The sequence below is a fragment of the Homo sapiens genome, chromosome 19, assembly GCF_000001405.40.
Source record: "Homo sapiens chromosome 19, GRCh38.p14 Primary Assembly".
NCBI classification, from domain to species: domain Eukaryota; kingdom Metazoa; phylum Chordata; class Mammalia; order Primates; family Hominidae; genus Homo; species Homo sapiens.
The window spans coordinates 42,113,829-42,132,565 of record NC_000019.10 but is presented as its reverse complement, the minus strand read 5'-3'; the positions used below and the strand labels follow the sequence as shown (position 1 = coordinate 42,132,565).

The following is an 18,737-nucleotide window of genomic DNA, read 5'->3' as shown; positions in this document are numbered from 1 at the left end:
GGCGGGTCTGTGGGCCAGGGTATTTTCCCTTCTGAAGGGGGCGGACCGGCCCTGTGGTTTCCTCCCTGAGTGACTTCCGGCAGGGAGGGCTCGGCCCCCAGAGAGGGTGGGGAGATGACACAGTTGTTCCCCCAGCCCTGGCGGGGCGGGCAGCATGGTTCACTCCAGCATGGGGGCTCCAGGTAAGGGGGCTGGTGCCTGTGCCACTGCTCAGAGGACAGGCAGCACATTTAGGTTTGCTCTGCGGGCCCTGCCTGCCCCTCCTCCTCAGCTGTCTCCATTGTCCTTCTCCTCTGTACTCTAGCAACTCCCTCTCTCCCATGCCGGGTCCCCGCTAACCCCCACAGCTCCTCTTTGCCCTCTCTTTCCACATCAGGCACCGGAACTTCCAACATCTTCTCTTCTCTGTTGCCCTGTTCCGAAGGGTCTGGGGACGGGAGGGAGGGAGCTGGGTGTTGGTAGCGGGCCCTCATGTGGAGAACCAGTGGGGTGGGTGACATGGGCAATCCTTGGATAAGGGCTGCAAAGGGATTGGAATGCCAAGTTGCTGGACTTGGGGGATGTCATTCCCTTTTGAGTGTGTGTGTGCACATCTGGTACAGGTGTGCGTGTGCATGTGTGTGTGCAGTAGTTCTGAGTGCTCTGAGTGGGACTGCTGTGTGCTTGTGAGTGTAGGGGGCTGTTGTGTGTGGCATTGTGGGGTGATGATTGCCTGGCTCCCTTCTTCACTTCATTCACCTCAGATGTCACCTCCTCAGGGCAGCCTTCCCTGACCTCCCCATCTAAACTGGCACTGATCCTGTCACTCTCAGTCCCCTCACCCTGCTTTATCTTTTCTTCACGGCACGTATCACTGCTGGGAATTTCATTATGTGTTTGTTTGTGTGCTTATTAAATGCCTTCTCCACCAAATGTCAGTTGGCTGAGTGAACATTGTGCACCAGGCACTGTACAAGGTGATTTATAGCTGTTGGCTCATTTAGTAGAATGTGTATATGTCTGTATGGTGATGGCTATCACTCAGCAGTGTTGATGGGAGTCTTAAATGAGGTAATACATGTAGCATGCTTAGCACAGTGCCTGGAACATGGCAAGCACTCAGCCCTTCATGCCTGTTTCATTTGTGGCTGTGTAGGCATGACCATGGGCATGAGTCTTGGTTTGGTGGTGTGTGCTGTCCTATATGCGCCATTGTGTGCGGGCACCCGTGTGTCCTCCACCAACATGTATCTATTGAGTAGTTCTGTGTTGGGTGTTGGAAGTACAGTGGAAAGGGTAGCTCAGGTCTGTCCTCCTGGAGCTCCCAGTTTATTGGAGAAGACAGACCTGTCACCAATGACAGTACAGACAGGTCAGGGCTGGGATGGGGGAGGTCCAGGCAGAGGGATCAGGGCTGGGATGGGGGAGGCCCAGGCAGAGGGGTCAGGGCTGGGATGGGGGAGGCCCAGGCAGAAGGGTCAGGGCTGGGGTGGTGGGCACAGGCAGAGGTGTCGGGGTGGGATGGGGGGACAAAGGTAGAGGGGTTGGGGCTGGGATGAGGGAGGCCCCAAGCAGAGGGGTCAGGGCTGGGGTTGGGGAGGCTCAGGCAGAGGGGTCAGGGCTGGGATGGGGGGACATAGGTAGAGGGGTTGGGGCTGGGATGGGGGAGGCCCAGGCAGAGGGGTCAGGGCTGGGATAGGGGGACATAGGTAGAGGGGTTGGGCCAGGACGGGGAGGTATTAGGGGATCGTAGGAGCCCTGAAAACATGTGATTTAGTTGGTAGAGTGTCAAGGAGGGCTTCCTGGAGGAAGGGGGTGTCTGAGCAGGGATATGAAGAATGAGTGGGTATGAGCAAGCAAAGGCGGTGAGGAGAGGGGTGGGATGAAAGGAAGACTATTTGCAGGGTGACATGTTTATTTGTTGAGGTGACTGTGTATGCAACTGTGTATATGTGTGTGTGTCCATACAGTGTAGACACAGAGATCCAGGGTGTCTGCTCCCACTGACTCGTTCCTCTCTGGGGTTAAATGGGGACCTCAGAGGTGCTGGGCAGTAGGCTAAACCCTTTACTTGGGATTTCTCACAGAACAGCCCAGTGTGGGAAGACTGGGGTGAATTTTCCCTGCCTGGACATGAATTAATACACTGTGTGGCTGTGGGCAGATCACTCACCCTGCCTGGTCTCAGACTCCACACCTGTGAACTGGGTTCAGAGGTCAGCCCTGGCCATCTTCCAGGATAAGGTGACTCTGGGTGTATGTGTGTGCACTTGTGTTTGTGTGTGTGACTCTGTGTGAGCATGTGCATGTCTGGGTGTGTATCTCTGGCTGGACTGATGTGACTTGGTGTGAGAACATGTGTAAGTACATGTGTGCGTACACATGTCTGAGTCTGTGAGTGACTGGGTGTAGTATGTAGGGGGAGGGTGTATGTCTGTGTTCGACTCCGGGTGTGTGAGTTTGTATACTTTTTACGTGTGTCTGGCTGGCTGTGTGTCACTCAGTGTGAGAGTGTGTGTGAGTGCATGTGTGTACGCACGTTTGGGTGTGTGTTTTGCATATATGCCCGTGGCATCATGTCTGGGCATGTGTCGTATCTGCAAACCTGTTCACATTCCTGTCTGGAATCTGTGCACATCTGTTTCTTGTATTGTGTTGGCCGGGGCCTTGCCTGGCTGTGGCCATGGGGTGTGTACTGTTGGCAGCTCTTGCCTGCTGTCAGCGCAGCTGTGGGGCCACCTCTCTTGTTGTGTCTGCTGCCTGTATCTCCATCCCTCCCTCCTGACAACTCAGAAATGTTCACTCCCTTGAGGCCACCCAGGGACAGCTGTGGGGTGGGGAGGGGTGAGGTGCTGCTTCTGGGGAGGACGGGGGCTCGGCCAGCTGGGCCCACAGAGGTTCCCGGCAGCACCAACCTGCCCACAGGGGCTCCCAGGCCATACCCCTAATTGAAGCAGGCTGCGGAGGCAGGGGACCCAGGGGACAGGACAAGTGGGGCCAGGAGGGGTGAGGGGCAGTCCTTGGGCCCTCTATATTTAGCCCCGTTTTCGGTAAGTGCTAACGAGAAGCTGGCCTAAGTCTGCTAAAACTGGCGGGGGGAAATGCAGAGGAGAAGTGAAAGTCCGGGGAGGGAGGAGTGGGAGGGTGGAGAGGACCAAGAGTCCCAGGCCTGGGGCAGTCGGGCAAGTGAGTGTGAGCTCAGGGCTGGGCAGCCCTGGTTGAGGGGTGTCTGACCTGAGGAAGGTGGGATTCAAGGGGCAACATGGCTCCAAGGGGCCTGGTAGGGCTATGCATTGCTTTTTCTCTTTCAGTTCCCCTAAAATATTACACATTACCTATGATGAGGGGTGGGAATAGCCATACATAACCAACCAATCTTTTGTGTGTGAATGAGGCTTTGAGAGGGGCTTCTGAAGGTGCCAGGGGATGGAGCACATTAGAATCACCAGGAGGGGGCTGGGTGCGGTGGCTCATGCCTGTAATCCCAGCACTTTGGAATGCTGAGGTGGGCGGATCACTTGAGGTCAGGAGTTCGAGACCAGCCTGCCCAACATGGTGAAACCCCGTCTCTAATAAAAATACAAAAATTAGCCGGGCATGGTGATGCATGCCTGTAATTGCAGCTACTCGGGAGGCTGAGGCAGGAGAATCGCTTGAACCCAGGAGGCAAAGGTTGCAGTGAGCTGAGATCATACCATTGCACTCCAGCCTGGGCGACAGAGTGAGACTCTGTCTAAAAAAAAAAAAAGAGAATCACCTGGAGGGGCTTTTAAATATCTGGATGCCCAAGTCACACCCTGTACCACTGAAATCAGAGTCTAGGGTGGGAACAGGCATCAATATTTTTCTAGAGTTGAGTGATAGGCGATGGGCATCTCTGCCTGGGCTCAGGCTGAGGCTGAGGCCGAGCCATTTGATGGACCCTCCAAGTCTATGATTGCTAGTGCCCTGGAGTCCCTGTTAAGGCGTCATTTGGCTTTTAGTCCACGGTGGAAATGGAGCTCCCTGTTCATTCCTGGTGGAAATGATCTGACCCTTCTCTCAGATTGAGCTCTGACAGGGGAGGTGGAAAGAGAAAAGACAAAGGGCAGCAGTTGGCCATTTTGTTGTGACCCAGCCAAGTGTGGGGCAGGGAGTATGCAGGGATATGTAGGAGTGGTTGGGATAATTTAGGGAGAATAAGGGTAACAGAATGGTGAAAAATTTCCCTCAAACCACTCTTGTCTTTCCAGCCACAGTCTCTGCAGAGGAAATCATACCTTAAAGATTTAAGTTAGGGTTTCTTGGGGATGTTGGGTGACAGTAGAGATAGGGGTTTGTTTTAGACAGGATTGGGCCCTGGTCAGTTAGGGGATTCTTTAATGCATTCATTCATTCCAAAGACGTACTCCTAGGCCTGTGCAGCAATGACTCCAGCCTGGGCTCCTGAGGAGCCCACAGTTGGGGTGGAGGTCTCTGCCCAGGATGATCAGGATGTGGTGGAGCACAGTACAGGGTCAGTGAAGCCCAGAAGAGAGAGACACTGACCATCTGGGGAATCAGAGAGTACTTCACAGAGGAGGTGACATTTGAGCTGGACCTTAAAGAGGAGCAAGAGTTTGCCAGTAGAGAAGGAAAGGGTCACCCAAGTGGGAGACGAGCAGAGGCAAAGGCCTGGGGGAGGGAGATCAGGACCTTGGGGCCACTGATCCACATGTCTTCTGCTGGGGAGTGTTTAGGAACCTGAGATCAGATCTGCCCTTGAAAAATTCCTAGTCTGATAGGGGAGACATAGTGGGGCCCGGCTAGCTACAGTCAGCCTCTAAGACAGTGACAAGGGAAGGTGCTAGGGTATGGGGAGCTGGAGAGAGACCTGGCTGGGAGCTGGGGGCATCAAGGTGGTGGTTTCATAGAAAACAGAGCTTATGGCCGGGCGTGGTGGCTCACGCCTGTAATCCCAGCATTTTGGGAGGCTGAGGTGGGCAGATCATGAGGTCAGGAGATTGAGACCATCCTGGCTAACACAGTGAAACCCCTTCTCTACTAAATATACAAAAATTAGCCAGTCGTAGTGGCGCGCACATGTAATCCCAGCTATTTGGGAGCCTGAGGCAGGGAATTGCTTCAACCCAGGAGACCTCTGGAGCTTGCAGTGAGCCGAGATCCCACCACTGCACTCCAGCCTGGACAACACAGCAAGACTCCATCTCAAAAAAAAAGAAAAGAAAACAGAGCTTATGCTGGGTTCTGAAGGATGAGTCCGGGGGTCGCCAGGTGGACAGATTGGGGAACAGTGTTCCAGACAGAGGGAACAGCCCATGCCAAGGCCTCAGGAAATGTTTTAAATGGCAAAGTGCAGGCATGGTGGCTCATGGCTGTAATCCCAGAACTTTGGGAGGCCAAGGCATGAGGATCATTTGAGCCCACGAGTCTGAGACCAGCCTGGACAACATAAGGAGACCCGTCTCTACAAAAAAAAAAAATTTTTTTTTTAATTAGCTGGATGTGGTGGTGCACAGCTGTAGTCCCTGGATGTGGTGGTGCACACCTGTAGTCCCAGCTACTCAGGAGGCTGGGATGGGAGGATAGCTTGACCCCAGGAGGTCGAGGCTGCAGTGAGCCGTGATTGTGCCACTGCATTCCAGCCTGGCCGACAGAGCAAGACTCTTGTCTCAAAATATAAATTAAATAAAATAAATAGCAGGGAGACAGTAAGACAAGGGTGAGAAGTAGTAGGAAACAGAGACTGCTAAAGAGAGGGACATTCAGCAGTTACAACCCGTTCTGGGCTTGTGATGCTGGGGACCCAGTGATGAGTCAGACCAGGCCTGTCGCATTGGTCTTGTGGGGAAGGAACCTGGACACAGACAGCCACAACTGGGGGCTCAGGGATGGGACAGCAGGAGGGCAGGGGCTGTGAGAGGCTTAGTTTGCTAGGGCTTCCACATCAAAGTACCACAGACTAGGTGGCTGAAATAAGAGAAATTCATTTTCACAATTACGGAGGCTGTAAGTTAAAGACGAGGATGTCAGCAGGGTTGGTCTCTTCCAAGGCCTCTCTCCTTGGCTTGTGGTCCACTGGTCTTCTCCTGGGTCTTCATATGGTCTTCCCTCTGTTCCCATCTGTGACCTAATTCCCTCTTTTTCTTCTTTTTTTTTTTTTTTGAGATGGAGTCTTGCTCTGTCACTCAGGCTGTAGTGCAGTGGCACGATCTCGGCTGCCTGCAACCTCTGCCTCCTGGGTTCAGGTGATTCTCCTACCTCAGCCTCCTGAGTAGCTGGGATTACAGGCACACACTACCATGCCCGGCTAATTTTTGTATTTTTAGTAGGGGTAGGATTTCACATTGTTGGTTAGGCTGGCCTCAAACTCCTGAACTGGTGATCTGCCCACCTCGGCCTCCCAAAGTGCTGGGATTACAGGCATGAGCCACCGCGCCCGCCCCCTCTTCTTATAAGGATGCCAGTCAGATTGTAGTAAGGTCCACCCTAATGACCTTATTTTACCTTAATTACGTCTTTAAAGACCCTATCTCCAAATACAATTACATTTTGAGGTATCAGGAATTAGGACTTCCGTGTATGAATTTTGGTAGATGCAACTTAGCCCATAGCAGAGGTTAAGGATGAGTGTGGACTTTCTGGGCTGGCAGTGGGGTCCGAGGCTGCCCTGTTCTGTGGACGGGAGAGGGATGCCCAGCTAGGTGGGAGTGTAGAACCTGCACAGCCTGCTGTCAAGCAGACCCCCAAGCAGGGGGAGATGCTCGACATGGGTGAAGAGCACTGTGCATGAGCTGCAAGAGAAGAGCAGTACAGGGTGGTGGGCCAGCCCCTGGAGGCCAGGTTGTTTATTTCTCCAGGAGATAGGGAGGAGCCAGGAAAGGATTGCCCTGAGGCAATGTGGAGCTCCGCTGGAGGGACGGAGGCCAGAGGAGGCTGGGGCTGCAGTTTTAGGGATGCTAGGAGGGGTGGGATTTAGGACCGGGTTAGAGTTAGTGGCTGCCTGAAGTAGGGCTAAGGTCTGGGTGAACTAGAGCTAGGATCAGGCAGGATTCCCGCCTTTACTGCTCCAAAGTCAGGACACACTTGCTGCCCAGCTCCCTTCTTGTCCTTCTTATATCTTGTATCAGTAGCCATTTAATGCCCTGTCCCCAGGGCCAGGAAACAGGACCTGAACTCTGGTAGCGTCCTGGGCACCCACTCCCCACCCCCACCCTCAACAGTCTACATCTTTTTTTTTTTTTTTGAGACAGAGTCTTGCTCTATTATCCAAGCTGGAGTGCAGTGGTACAATCACGGCTCACTGTAGCCTCAATCTCCTGGGCTCGAGCGACCTTCCCATCTCAGCCTACTGAGTAGCTGGGACTGTAGGTGCCCACCACCATCATGTCCGGTTAACTTTTTTATTTTTTGGAGAGACGGGGATTTCACTATGTTGCCCAGGCTGGTCTCAAACTCCTAGCCTCAAGTGATCTACCTGCCTTGGTGCAGTGTGCATCTTAATGGGACTGTGTGCTGGCGTTTTGCTTTTTAGCTTTTAAATGTTTTCTTGCTTGTTAAAACATAACGTATATAGAGTAAAGTGCTCAAATTTTAAGTGTATAGCTTGATGAATTTTTGCTTATGTAAGGACCCTGTAACCACCAAACAAGATCCTTTCTTACCTGGTGCAGGCTTCCTCATGCCCTTTCCCAGTCAGTACCCCCAAGGTGCTCACTCATCTGACTGTGATCATCTGCTATCAGCTTGCCCGTTTTTGAATTTCCTGTAATTGGAATCATAAATTATGTCTGCCTTTGTGTTTGGCATCTTTCATTCAGCCTCATGTCTCCAAGCTTCGGCCATGTGTATGAAGCAGGAGTTTGTTCTTTTTCATTACTGTGGCATATTTCATTGTATGGACATACCACATTTTATTTATCCATTCACCTGTTGACGGCCCCTTAGGCTGTTTCCAGTTTGGGGCCATTATGAAAGACTGCAGAAGAATTCTGCCCATGTCCTTTGATGGGCAGGACACGTGTTTCTTTTGGGCAGATGCCCAGGAGTGGACGTGCTGCATCTTAGGGAGAGGGCATCTTTTCAGCTTTTCTGAGTGGTGCTTGTATCAATTTACACTCCCACCAGCAATGCATGACCTGTTTTTTTAATTAGGAATTTAAAACTCAAGCAGCATTTCACATTGAATAATACTCAATTGCAAGATTTCTAGACTTTTTTTTTTTTTTACAGTTACTGAGTTCTTCCTATTTCTTATCCCTTACTTTAGCTCCATTCTTTTTTTTTTTCTTTTTTTTTTTTTTTGAGACAGGGTCTCACTCTGTCACCCAGGCTGGAGCGCAGTGGTGCAGTCACAGCTCACTGTAGCCTTGACCTCCTGGATTCAAGCGATTCTCCTGCCTCAGCCTCCCCAATAGCTGGGACTACAGGTGCGTGCCATCATGCCCAGCTAATTTTTGTGTCTTTAGTAGAGATGGGGTTTCTCCATGTTGCCTAGGCTGGTCTTGAACTCCTGGGTTCAAGAGATCTGGCTGCCTCAGTCTCCCAAAGTGCTGGGATTGCAGGCGTGAACCACTGTGCCTGGCTTAGCTGTCTTCTTTAAGTATCTTGGTGCAGAGAACACTAGAGTTGGACAGCTCCTTTAGTAGGAGTGGGGTCATGGTTTAGGCAGGGATTTTGGAGTGAGTTGTGGGAAGAGTTTGGATCAGGGACAGGATCTCAGGACAGTTGGGAGTCAAGGTCAGATGAAGGACTTGAGCCATCTGGGCACAACTTGGGATTCAAGGTGAGTAAGTGGACTAAGGATGGGTCAGGCTGAAGCCCAGATTTGTCCTGGGGTCTAGGACCAGGAAGGGTTGGATTCAGTTTCAGGATGAGCTTGGGCGAGGGAACTGTTGGAGATGAGATGGCTGGAAGTCAGGACTAGGGGACATTAGACTAGAGTGGATCCGATTAGAAGTAGGAGCCCAGCAGTCATGAAGACCAGGGGTCCAATCAGGGCACATCTGCTGTCTTGCTGTGCTTTTGGGGAGGTGACATCCCTTCGTGGAGCCTCAGTTTCCTCCTCTGTAAAACGGGGTAATATTAGCACTAACCGCTAATGTGAGCTGTGAGTCATATCTAGCTCTATGCTTGGCACTGGTGAGCACTCGCCTTTCTGTGAAAAGTATCAGAGCGCTTTGAGGACAGGCATTTGTCTCCGTGGGTTTATGTGCTTGCTGCCTGCCACCCTCCCTTGGCCACCTCCTTTCATTTCCTGGGCCTAGGGAGCTATAGAATGGGGTTGTATTACAGGGGTGGACTTGAGACTGCAGCTGGGGCTCAAGCGTGAAGTCCCAGATCAGGTTTAGATTGGAGGACAAGCTCAGGGGTAGAGCCAGATGGAGCTGAGGTTACAGAGGATGAGGTTGGGTCTGCTAGGCCGGTGTGCTAAACATAGGAAGAAAGTCCAGGTGGGAGTAAGATGTGGATGGGGAAAGTGGTGGGGTGGGAAGAGGGCCAGAGGGCGGCTGAATCACACATGCTGAGATCTGACAACTGCCTCCTTTGGGGACGCTGCAGCCCCATCACATCTCTGAGGCCCCACTCAGAGTGGAAAACATGTCTCACCCGAAACCTGGTAGGGCAGGACGGGAGCCTGGGCGGCCCGCCCCAGGAGGAGGCCCAAGGCTGCTCTCCCTCCTTTGGGACGTCACCAGCCTCCTCCTGGGCAGCTGATACCTTCTCACGACCACCTTCCATCTCCTGCCCTGCCCTTTGCTGCACTGTGGGTAACACCCCTGTGTTACTTTCTGGAGAGGTGAAAGGATAAGGCAAGATCCCCCAAGGCCTAAGTGCTGTGTCTCATCTTGCCAGAGGAGGGCAGAGGCCCAGAACGGAGGACATGTCTCTTGGGAAGAGACACTTCCAAGGTGGCTGGGGGTAAGGGGGGAATTTGGGGGAAAGGCTTGGGGAGTGTGGTGGAATGGGGGCCCGAGAGCCCTCCTGGATTCCCCTCCTTCACCCCACTTCCATTCCTCCTCTGTCCCCAGAAATAAGAATGTCTAAGCCCCTGGAGGCCGAGAAGCAAGGTCTGGACTCCCCATCAGAGCACACAGGTGGGTGGGCAGGGAGCAGGGGGGCAGGGGTCACCGTGGGCAGGGGAAGTGGGACAGATGGGAAGAGAGCTGGGAGGGGACAGGTGTGGTGGGGGTGGCTGATGACAACACATCCTTTCCCTCTCTTTGCAGACACCGAAAGAAATGGACCAGACACTAATCATCAGGTTAGGAGGGAGTGGATAAGCGGGAGGGGGTGGGAAGGAATGGGGAGAGGGGTTCAGAGGGGGCTCTGTGCCGCCTATGGTAGGAGGGCAGGGAGCGGGGGTGGTCAGAAGCTGCTTCACTGCACTATTCCCATCCCCTTGCTCCTACTTTCTCTTTGCAGAACCCCCAAAATAAGACCTCCCCATTCTCCGTGTCCCCAACTGGCCCCAGTACAAAGGTAAGCACCTGTCAGAACAGCCAGGGAAGTGGGCAGCGCTTGGAAGAGGGTCCTCAGGAGGCCTGCCTCAGTCCAAGGGCTGAGAGAGCACTGAGCCTTGGTACCTTGGTAACGAGGTTCCTCCCGCCCCTTCTCACTCTTGGGCTCCCACCCCAGGCCTGTGACTCACGCAGGCTCCTTCCCCTTCCCTAGGGGGTGGGGGTGGCTAGGGAAATCCCCCCCAGAGCCCCAGGGCGATGAACAACAGGAAGCCAAAGGCCCGCCCCCATCCCAACTTCCCTGACCCAACAGAGGCCTGCACCACCGCCTGTCCCCCAATATACACATTTAGCGGCCAGCTGAGGTGGGGGTGGGGGGGCTGGTACCAGTTGAGGATAGCTGTAGGAATGCAGGAGAGAATGACAGGGAGGCCGGAAGCAGCCAGGCAGTGCAAATTCCACATCCAGATGGGGCCCTGTGCCTGGCATTCTGGGCTTCTTGGGGTTGCCTGGGCTCCAGTCTCCACCCTCCAGCCTGGTCCAGGGGTAGCAGGCAGGTCCAGAGGCTTGAAGGTAGCACTGGAGGTGGGGGCAGAGAAGGTGTGAGCAGGACTCCAGACCCTGACCAGTGGTGGCTGAGGGATGGGGTGGGAGGCTGGGAACTGCTCCCCACCCTGCTACAGCTTTGCTCTGTGACCATGGGAAAGTCACTTCCCCTCTCTGGGCCTCTCAGTTTCCTCTTCAGTATCATTGGTCAGGGGGGAGGGGGCAGTCGGATGGGATGGCCTCTGTGGTTGCCTCCATGTCTGGTGTACCCCCATGCTACCATGAGAGGAGAGGATAAAAGTGCTTTGTGAGCAGATGTCCTGCTTCTGTGCTGAGCGCTTTGAACGGGGTCTAGGGGAGACAGGCTCTCGATCTTGACCTCCTTGACCCTCTGATGGCAGGTTTGGCTATTGCCTTAGCCCTCAGAGCACAGCGTGTATCCATTGCCCCCACCCTGTCCTCAGTTGAATCAGATCTTTGCAGTCTGTTCTCAAACTGGCAGCAGGCTTCCTTCTTTTGGGGATGCCAGTGGGACCAAGGGAATGAAGGTTTCTCCCTCCCCTTCCTGGCCTCGGGCTCTGTCCACAACTCGCCCTGTACGCCCTGTTTCTCTGGGCTTTGCCTCTCAACTTCTCTCCATCTCTTCTGTGTCAGTCTTTCCCTAACTGAAGTGATTCATGTGCTTCTGTCACAGTCTCAGGCATAAGACCACTGTGCGCAACTATTTACATAATAATTTTGTTAATTGGCTCAATTTTTTAAAAAAGCACCTTATTATGGAAAATGTGAAGTGGATACAGAAATAGAGAGAAGGTTATAATGAAAATAAAGCCCCTAGATACCCATCAATCAGCTTCAACAATTACCAACTCATGAACTGGCTTGCTTTTCGACAGCTTTTTAAATAAATGTTTTTTAAATGGAAATTTCACAAATGGAAAACCAGAATCACTTGCCATGGAAATAAATATGATGATTATTAAAATTTACCCAGAGTCTCTTGTGTGCCGAAGGGTCTAAACCTCAGAGGCCTGTTAAAAAAGAGGCTTATTAAAAAGAGGCTTATTAAAAAAGGAGATTAGGGCTGGGCGCGGTGGCTCATGCCTGTATTCCCAACAGTTTGGGAGACAAAGCGGGCAGATCACCTGAGGTCAGGAGCTTGAGACCAGCCTGGCCAACACGGTGAAACTTCGACTCTACTAAAAATACAAAAATTAGCCGGGCATGGTGGTGAGTGCCTGTAATCCCAGCTACTTGGGAGGCTGAGGCATTGTGGAGAATTGCTTGTGCCCAGGAGGTAGAGGTTGCAGTGAGCCGAGATTGCACCACTGCACTCCAGCCTGGGCAACAGAGAAAGACTCCAGCTCAAAAAAAAAAAAAAAAGGAGATTAGGCCAGATGCAGTGGCTCAAGCCTGTAGTTCTAACACTTTGGGAGGCCAAGGTGGGTAGATCGCTTGAGCCCGGGAGTTCAAGACCAGCCTGGGCAACATAGTGAGACCCTGTCTCTACAGAAAATACAAAAATTAGCTGGGTGTGCATGCCTGTAGTCTCAGCTACTTGAGACAGAGGCAGGAGGATCGCTTGAGTCTGGGAAGTTGAGGCTGCAGTGAGTCCTGATGGTGCCACTGCACTCCAGCTTGGGTGACAGAGCAAGACCCTGTCTCAAAAAAAAAATTAAAATAAAAGTGGAGATTAGCTAGTATTGGAGAGATGGTAAAGACATTCAAGCACCAATCAGAGACTTTAAGATAACCAGAAACAATGAAAAAAGCACTGAAAAGGGAATAGTGTGCTCACCATGGCATTCAACATTATTTTTTTAAAACTTTTTTTTTTTGAGACGGAGTCTCGCACTGTCACCCGGGCTGGAGTGCAATGGCATGATCTCGGCTCATTGCAACCTCCACCTCCTGGGTTCAAGCGATTTTTGAGGCGGAGTCTCGCTCTGTCGCCCAGGCTGGAGTGCGATGGCACCATCTTGGCTCACTGCACCTCCACCTCCCGGCTTCAGGTGATTCTCTTGCCTTAGCCTCCCAATTAGCTGGGATTACAGGTGTGTGCCACCATGCCTGGCTAATTTTTGTATTTTTAGTAGAGATGGGGTTTCACCATGTTGGCCAGGCTGGTCTCGAACTCCAGACCTCAAGTGATCCTCCCACCTTGGCTCCCAAAGTGCTGGGATTAAGGGGCGAGCCACCGCGCTCAGCCTATTTTTAAAAAAACTTTGTATTAAAATATGATACACATTAAAAACACACATAGATCTTCAATGTATGACTCTGTGAACTTTCAGAAACTTAGCACACCCATGTCACTAGCACCAGATCAAGAAGCAGAGCACGACCAGCCTTCCAGAGGCCCTTAATGCCCCTGCCAGGGATAGCTGCTACCCTGACTTCTCATACTCAGTGTCATTTCATGCTGCATCTCTGCAGCACTTTTTTTTTTTTAACCTCTCTCTCTCTCTTTTTTTTTTAAGAGACGGTGTCTTGCTCTGTTGCCCAGGCTAGTCTCAAACTCCTGGCCTCAAGCAATCCTCCTGCCTCAGCCTCCCAAAATGCTGCGATTACAGGCATGAACCACCACACTTGGCCTCTGTAGCTCTTAAACTTTCTAATACTTATATTCCATAATTTGGGACATGCCATTCACTGTCTATTATTTGGCCTTTCCTTGGCCTCTGTTTGTCTCTGTCCACATTCCAAATATCACCCCCCTGCCAACACACTGTGTCATTTTGCCCAAGTTGCTTTCTGTCTCTGGACTTCCTTTTACAAAATGGTGTTGGGCTATCAGGCTGAAGGATAAACTCACTGTCCACTTTAGGCCTGAGGGTGTGTGATCCATCAGGCCATGCCTTCTCCCACCACTGTGTGTGCTTCAGCCAACAGGCCTTTCAGCCAACAACTGCTGTTGTCTGGCTTTTTACCTAGGAATGGAGGAGGCCAGGGTGGCTCTATGCTGGTCTGTTCTGTGTGTATGGTGCAAGGTGTGTCCATATCATATTCAGAAAGACATGGAGAGGCTTGGCAGACCTCAGGAGCGGAGGCTGAAGCCTGGTATTTCCTGGGCCACATCTGGCTTGTCCACAGTGCAGGACAAATGCTGTGCTTTGCTTATTATGCCAGTATTTTTGTTCTAGATTTTGAAAAGAGTGGCCAGCAGGAGCTGAGTAGGAGCCAGATAAGATTTCCACTTAGGCAGGCGCTCTCTCCAGCCCACCTCCATCCACCCCTACTCCTGTCATTCATTTGTGCCCATTTCTGTAAGCATCTGACTTTGTAGCCCAGGTTCCAAGGTGGTGGTTTTTCTTAGTACCTGAAAACCTTTTCTTCCAACAAAGTCTTACTTCATTGGACAAATAAGGGATGTACCTGGCTAGGTGCAGTGGCTTATGCCTCTAATTCCAGCATTTTGGGAGGCCAAGGCAGGAGGATCGCTTGAGCCTAGGAGTTCAAGACCAGCCTGGGCAACATAGTGATACCCTGTCTCTACAGAAAAATTTAAAAATTAGCCAGGTGTGTGGTGGGCACCTGTAGTCTCAGCTGCTTGGAAAGCTGAGGTGGGAGGATTGCTTGAGCCTGGGAGGTAGAAGCTGCAGTAAGCTGTGATCATGCCACTGCACTTCAGCTTGGGCAACAGAGTGAGACCTTGTCTCAAAAACAAAAAGAAAAAAAAAGCAAGAGAGATGTACCTCTGTGTGATACAGATGAAGGGTGTGGGACCCAGAAGCCACTTATTTGACCTCCCAGGTGCCCAGTGGGAGTATTTTCCTTTTTTTTTTTCAGAAATGGGGTTTCACCATGTTGGCCAGGCTGGTTTCAAACTCCTGACCCCAAGTGATCCGCCTGCCTCGACCTCCCAAAGTGCTAGGGTTACAGGTATGAGCCACCGTGCCCAGCCACTCTTTTCCATTTTACAGACAGGAAAACTGACTCTCAGGAGGGGAAAAGTGCTCTGCAAAGGCGACTTCTGTAGGGAGTTTGGGTGCAGGTGTTGTGTTAGCCCTATCTGATTGATGAGGAAACTGAGGCCAGAGGAGTGGTTTGAAGCTCCCAGCGGTCAGTGCAGGACCACAGACTGCACCCTCATGTCCACACCCCAGTCTGCTCCTCCTGTGCCAGCCTGATTGCCATTGCCACACACGTGCCCTCTCTTTGGTTCACAGGTGGGCATTCTCTCTGGCCTCCACTTAACATTCTGGGGTCCCGGACCCTGCCTCTCTCCCCCCCAGATCAAGGCTGAAGACCCCAGTGGCGATTCAGCCCCAGCAGCACCCCTGCCCCCTCAGCCGGCCCAGCCTCATCTGCCCCAGGCCCAACTCATGTTGACGGGCAGCCAGCTAGCTGGGGTAAGTACTTGGGGAAGGATGGGGACGAGGGGACAAACCAGCCACCCCTCATCTGTTACAGGGCTAGTGGATGAACTGTTCCACCAAGGCCATGGCCACTCTCTCACACCTGCCTCTTGCCCTCTTCTGTCCTCTAGGAGGTCTTGTCCCCTTACTTGCTTGGCTTAGGCACTAACCCCTCTCTGCCTTCTCTGCTCCTCTTCAACCCCTTGCTCCAATTCCTGCTGTCCCCGACACCCCGCAGCTCACGGCACTGATGCCAGCTCAGCAGCAGCTCCTCCTGCAGCAAGCCCAGGCCCAGCTCCTGGCCGCCGCCGTGCAGCAGTCCAGTGCCGCCGCTGCCGCTAACGCCGCTGCCGCCGCCGCCGCCGCCTCCGCCTCCTCCTCTACTTCCTCCTCCTCCTCCTCCTCTGCCTCCTCCTCGACCTCACAGCCCCCAGCCTCCTCTGGGGGGGGTGACCTGCCACCACCACAGCCTGCCAGCCAGCCCCCTGGGACCCCACAGCTCACCTTGTCCCAACCCATCCAGCTCACAGCACAGGTAAGGGCAGCCACTGGGGACCAGGCTCCCTGCAGTGAAGGACATGCAGAAACAGTGAGTGTGTGGGAAGGGGCTGACTGGTCCACATGGACTGTTCTGACCACCAGCCACATGCCAGGCAGTTCCTAGCAACCCTAGGAAGCTTTGGAAGATGTTGCTGTCCCATCTTACAGAGGGGTAAAGTGAGGCTCACAGGGAGGAATATCCCACATCATAATCCTCCCTCTGGTGGTGTGTTGGGGGCAGTGCTTCCTGTGCATCTCGCTGGGAGTTCACAGCCTCCTGGGAGGTTGAGATTGTTGTCCTCAACATACAGGTAAGGAAACCAGGAGTCACTCTCGTGAATGGTACCATGTGGGTACAAAACAAAAGGTTAAGAATAAGAATGAGTGCCCTACCCTCATCGTGTCCCCTGGCTTATCCAACAAGATGCTCTTTCAAAAAAGGGGCCCGTGATCTATGAATTAGGAGGTTCTCCATCACCTCCCTGACTCTGGAGCTTTTGCTGGTCCATAGTTAATCATGAATTAGTGGCTGTCTCAGTTTCCTAGGGCTGCCGTAACATAATACCATAAACTGGGTGGCTTAAGGCAACAGAAACATATTGTCTCCAACCACAAGTCCAAACTCAAGGTATCGGCAGGGCCGTGCTCTCTCTGAAGCCTCCCAGGGAGAATCTGTCATTGCCTCTTCTGGCTTCCGATGGTGCTGTCAATCCTTGGTGTTCCATAGCTTAGTAGATGGCTCACTCCAATCTCTGCCTCCTCTGTCGTCACATGGCCATCTTCTCTCTGTGCACCTGTCTCTGTATTCAAATTTTTCTTTCTTGTAGGGACACTAGTCATTAGTTTAGGGCCCACCCCATTGACCTCATTTTAACTTGATTACATCTGCAACCCTATTTCCAAATAAGGTCACATTTACAGGTACCAGGAGTGAGGGCTTCCACATATCTTTTTGGGGACACAATTTAACCCCTAACAGTGGCCAACAGAGTTCCCATAAGGACAGCCGGGGGAGCAGAGTGGGAGCTGAGTAGGCTTCCTCTTCCGAAGGGCAGCTGTCTCCAGCCCACTCCTGTCCACCCCTTCCCATGTCACCCATTCATGTTGTCTGTCTGGTTTTCACCCATTCATGTTGTCTGTCTGGTTTTCATAAGCCTTAGAGCTGTGGCCAAGTTTCAGGGCAGTGAAGGTCGTGGGAAGCCCTACAGCAAAGCCACCTGTTTAACTTCCCTTAGCCTGGCGTTTCCCTCAGTGACTGCTCCACAAAAGGCTTTTCTCTCACTCCGTCCAACCACTTCCACAGAACCCTAGATATAGATGCTGTCCATGCAGGGAGCTGTCCAGCCCTGGTAAGGCTGTTCCCTTGTTACAGTTCACCCCAATAATGGCCCGTTCCATTATTGGCCAATGCTCCCATTTGGGACTTTCCTTAACACTGAGCTGATAACCTGCCTCCTTAGAACTTCCTTCCACTGGGCCTGGTTCTGTGGAGACACTCTGTAAACTGGGCGCATGGCTCCGTGATGGCTCTTGTAGATGTAGCCTTTTTTTTTTGAGATGAGGTCTTGCTTTGCTGCCCAGGCTGGAGTGCAGTGGCGGATTATGGCTCACTGCAGCCTCGACCTCTTTGGGCTCAAGTAATCCTCCCACCTCAGCCTCCTGAGTAGTTGGGACTACAAGTGCATGCCACCACACCCAGCTAATTTTTTTATATATACATATTTTTTGTAGAGACAGGTTTTTGCCATGTTGCCCAGGCTGGTCTTGAACTCCTGAGCTCAAGCGATCTGCCCACCTTGGCTTCTCAAAGTGCGGGATTATAGGCATGAGCCACGGTGCTCAGCCCAGATGTAGCCTTTCAATACCTGGCTCTTGAAGTAACAGTAACTAGTCTGTTGGGTGCCACCTTTCTTCCAGGCACCATGCCAGTGATGGCCTCTTTGCTCCCATGAATCCTCCCCACAGCTGAGGCTCCAAGGGGTAAAGTGACCTGCCCCAGATTATTCTGTAAGCATGAGTGTTAGAGCCGGCCTGGAAGTCCAGGGCTCTAACCACATGATCCGCGGCTGCTGCTTTTAGCTGTCCTTCACGGAACATGGTTTCTAGCCCCTCCCACCCCGGCCACCAGAGACTCCAGCAGCAGGTGTTCCATTTGCCTTGTAGCATAGACAGCCCTTTACTGAGCAACGCCAAGGGCTTGGGGCTCTTCACTGGGGCTGAGCTCTTTTGCATCTCAGTGGCCCTGCTCTTGTTCTCTCTTTTCCCGGGAAGTCTGCTCCCTTCCTTTACCTGGACAGTTCCTCTTCATCTGAGCCCCAGCCCAGGAGTCCACACCTCTAGGAAGTCATGATGACTTCCCTCCCCCCAGCCGTGCCTGAATCTGCTCGAGGAAATATCAGTTGAAGGAACAAAGACTAGAGGATAGAAGGCAGAACAGGGCAGCCTAGCGCAGACCCAGCCAGGCCACCATCTCTGTGAGCAGCAGACATTCTTGCCTATGCACTCCTAGAGCCACCTCCCCCAGCTCCCCAGGGACCCAGCAGCAGCAAGCTGAGCCTCCACCACCTGCCGTATAGCCCAGGCCCTGATTGTCAAGGGCTCCTTAAACCCCTCCTCCTTTCCTCTCACTCCTCCTTCCCCAGCTTCCCTCAGCTCTGATCTTTCCCTTTCTGTCTTCAACAAGTGCAAAGCTGGGCCAAGTTTGTTTTCTGGGAATTCTCTCTCACAAACTGAGTTGCCCTTTGACGTCATTTCTACAACAGCACCTCCTATGGGCACTGTGCTGGGCCCAGGCTGCAGAGGGACCAGCTCTTCCTGACTTACCTACCCACTGCTCCAGCCTTCCCCGGCTCCTAGGCTCGGATGTCTCTCCCGG

General features: G+C 52.5%; 1 protein-coding gene across 31 annotated transcripts in view, besides 3 other annotated features; it reads left to right on the top strand.

Moving 5' to 3' along the window:
• The window catches only part of POU2F2 (POU class 2 homeobox 2), a 111,827-nt gene that overhangs the window by 65,371 nt on the left and 27,719 nt on the right, over positions 1-18,737 (top strand). For 8 of the 31 annotated variants that reach the window (NM_001247994.3, NM_002698.6, NM_001393936.1 and 5 more), the window contains exons 1-5: positions 120-182; positions 9,990-10,055; positions 10,188-10,222; positions 10,384-10,440; positions 15,200-15,316. In NM_001247994.3, coding sequence (NP_001234923.1) covers positions 155-182; positions 9,990-10,055; positions 10,188-10,222; positions 10,384-10,440; positions 15,200-15,316 — 303 coding nt within the window. In that variant the 5' untranslated portion in view covers positions 120-154. Of the gene's footprint in view, positions 1-119; positions 183-8,271; positions 8,388-9,639; positions 9,880-9,989; positions 10,056-10,187; positions 10,223-10,383; positions 10,441-15,133; positions 15,317-15,560; positions 15,858-18,737 lie in introns of those variants that run through there. The other 23 variants (XM_011527042.4, NM_001393935.1, XM_011527041.4 and 20 more) reach the window with 12 other exon arrangements.
• Positions 2,569-2,678: an enhancer, noted in NCBI's record as "active region_14701". NCBI's record gives its function as "activates an Ori minimal core promoter by ATAC-STARR-seq in GM12878 lymphoblastoid cells {active_cell/tissue: GM12878}" and the evidence as "EXISTENCE:reporter gene assay evidence [ECO:0000049][PMID:35858748]".
• Positions 10,487-10,566: a silencer, noted in NCBI's record as "silent region_10685". NCBI's record gives its function as "represses an Ori minimal core promoter by ATAC-STARR-seq in GM12878 lymphoblastoid cells {active_cell/tissue: GM12878}" and the evidence as "EXISTENCE:reporter gene assay evidence [ECO:0000049][PMID:35858748]".
• Positions 18,096-18,255: an enhancer, noted in NCBI's record as "active region_14700". NCBI's record gives its function as "activates an Ori minimal core promoter by ATAC-STARR-seq in GM12878 lymphoblastoid cells {active_cell/tissue: GM12878}" and the evidence as "EXISTENCE:reporter gene assay evidence [ECO:0000049][PMID:35858748]".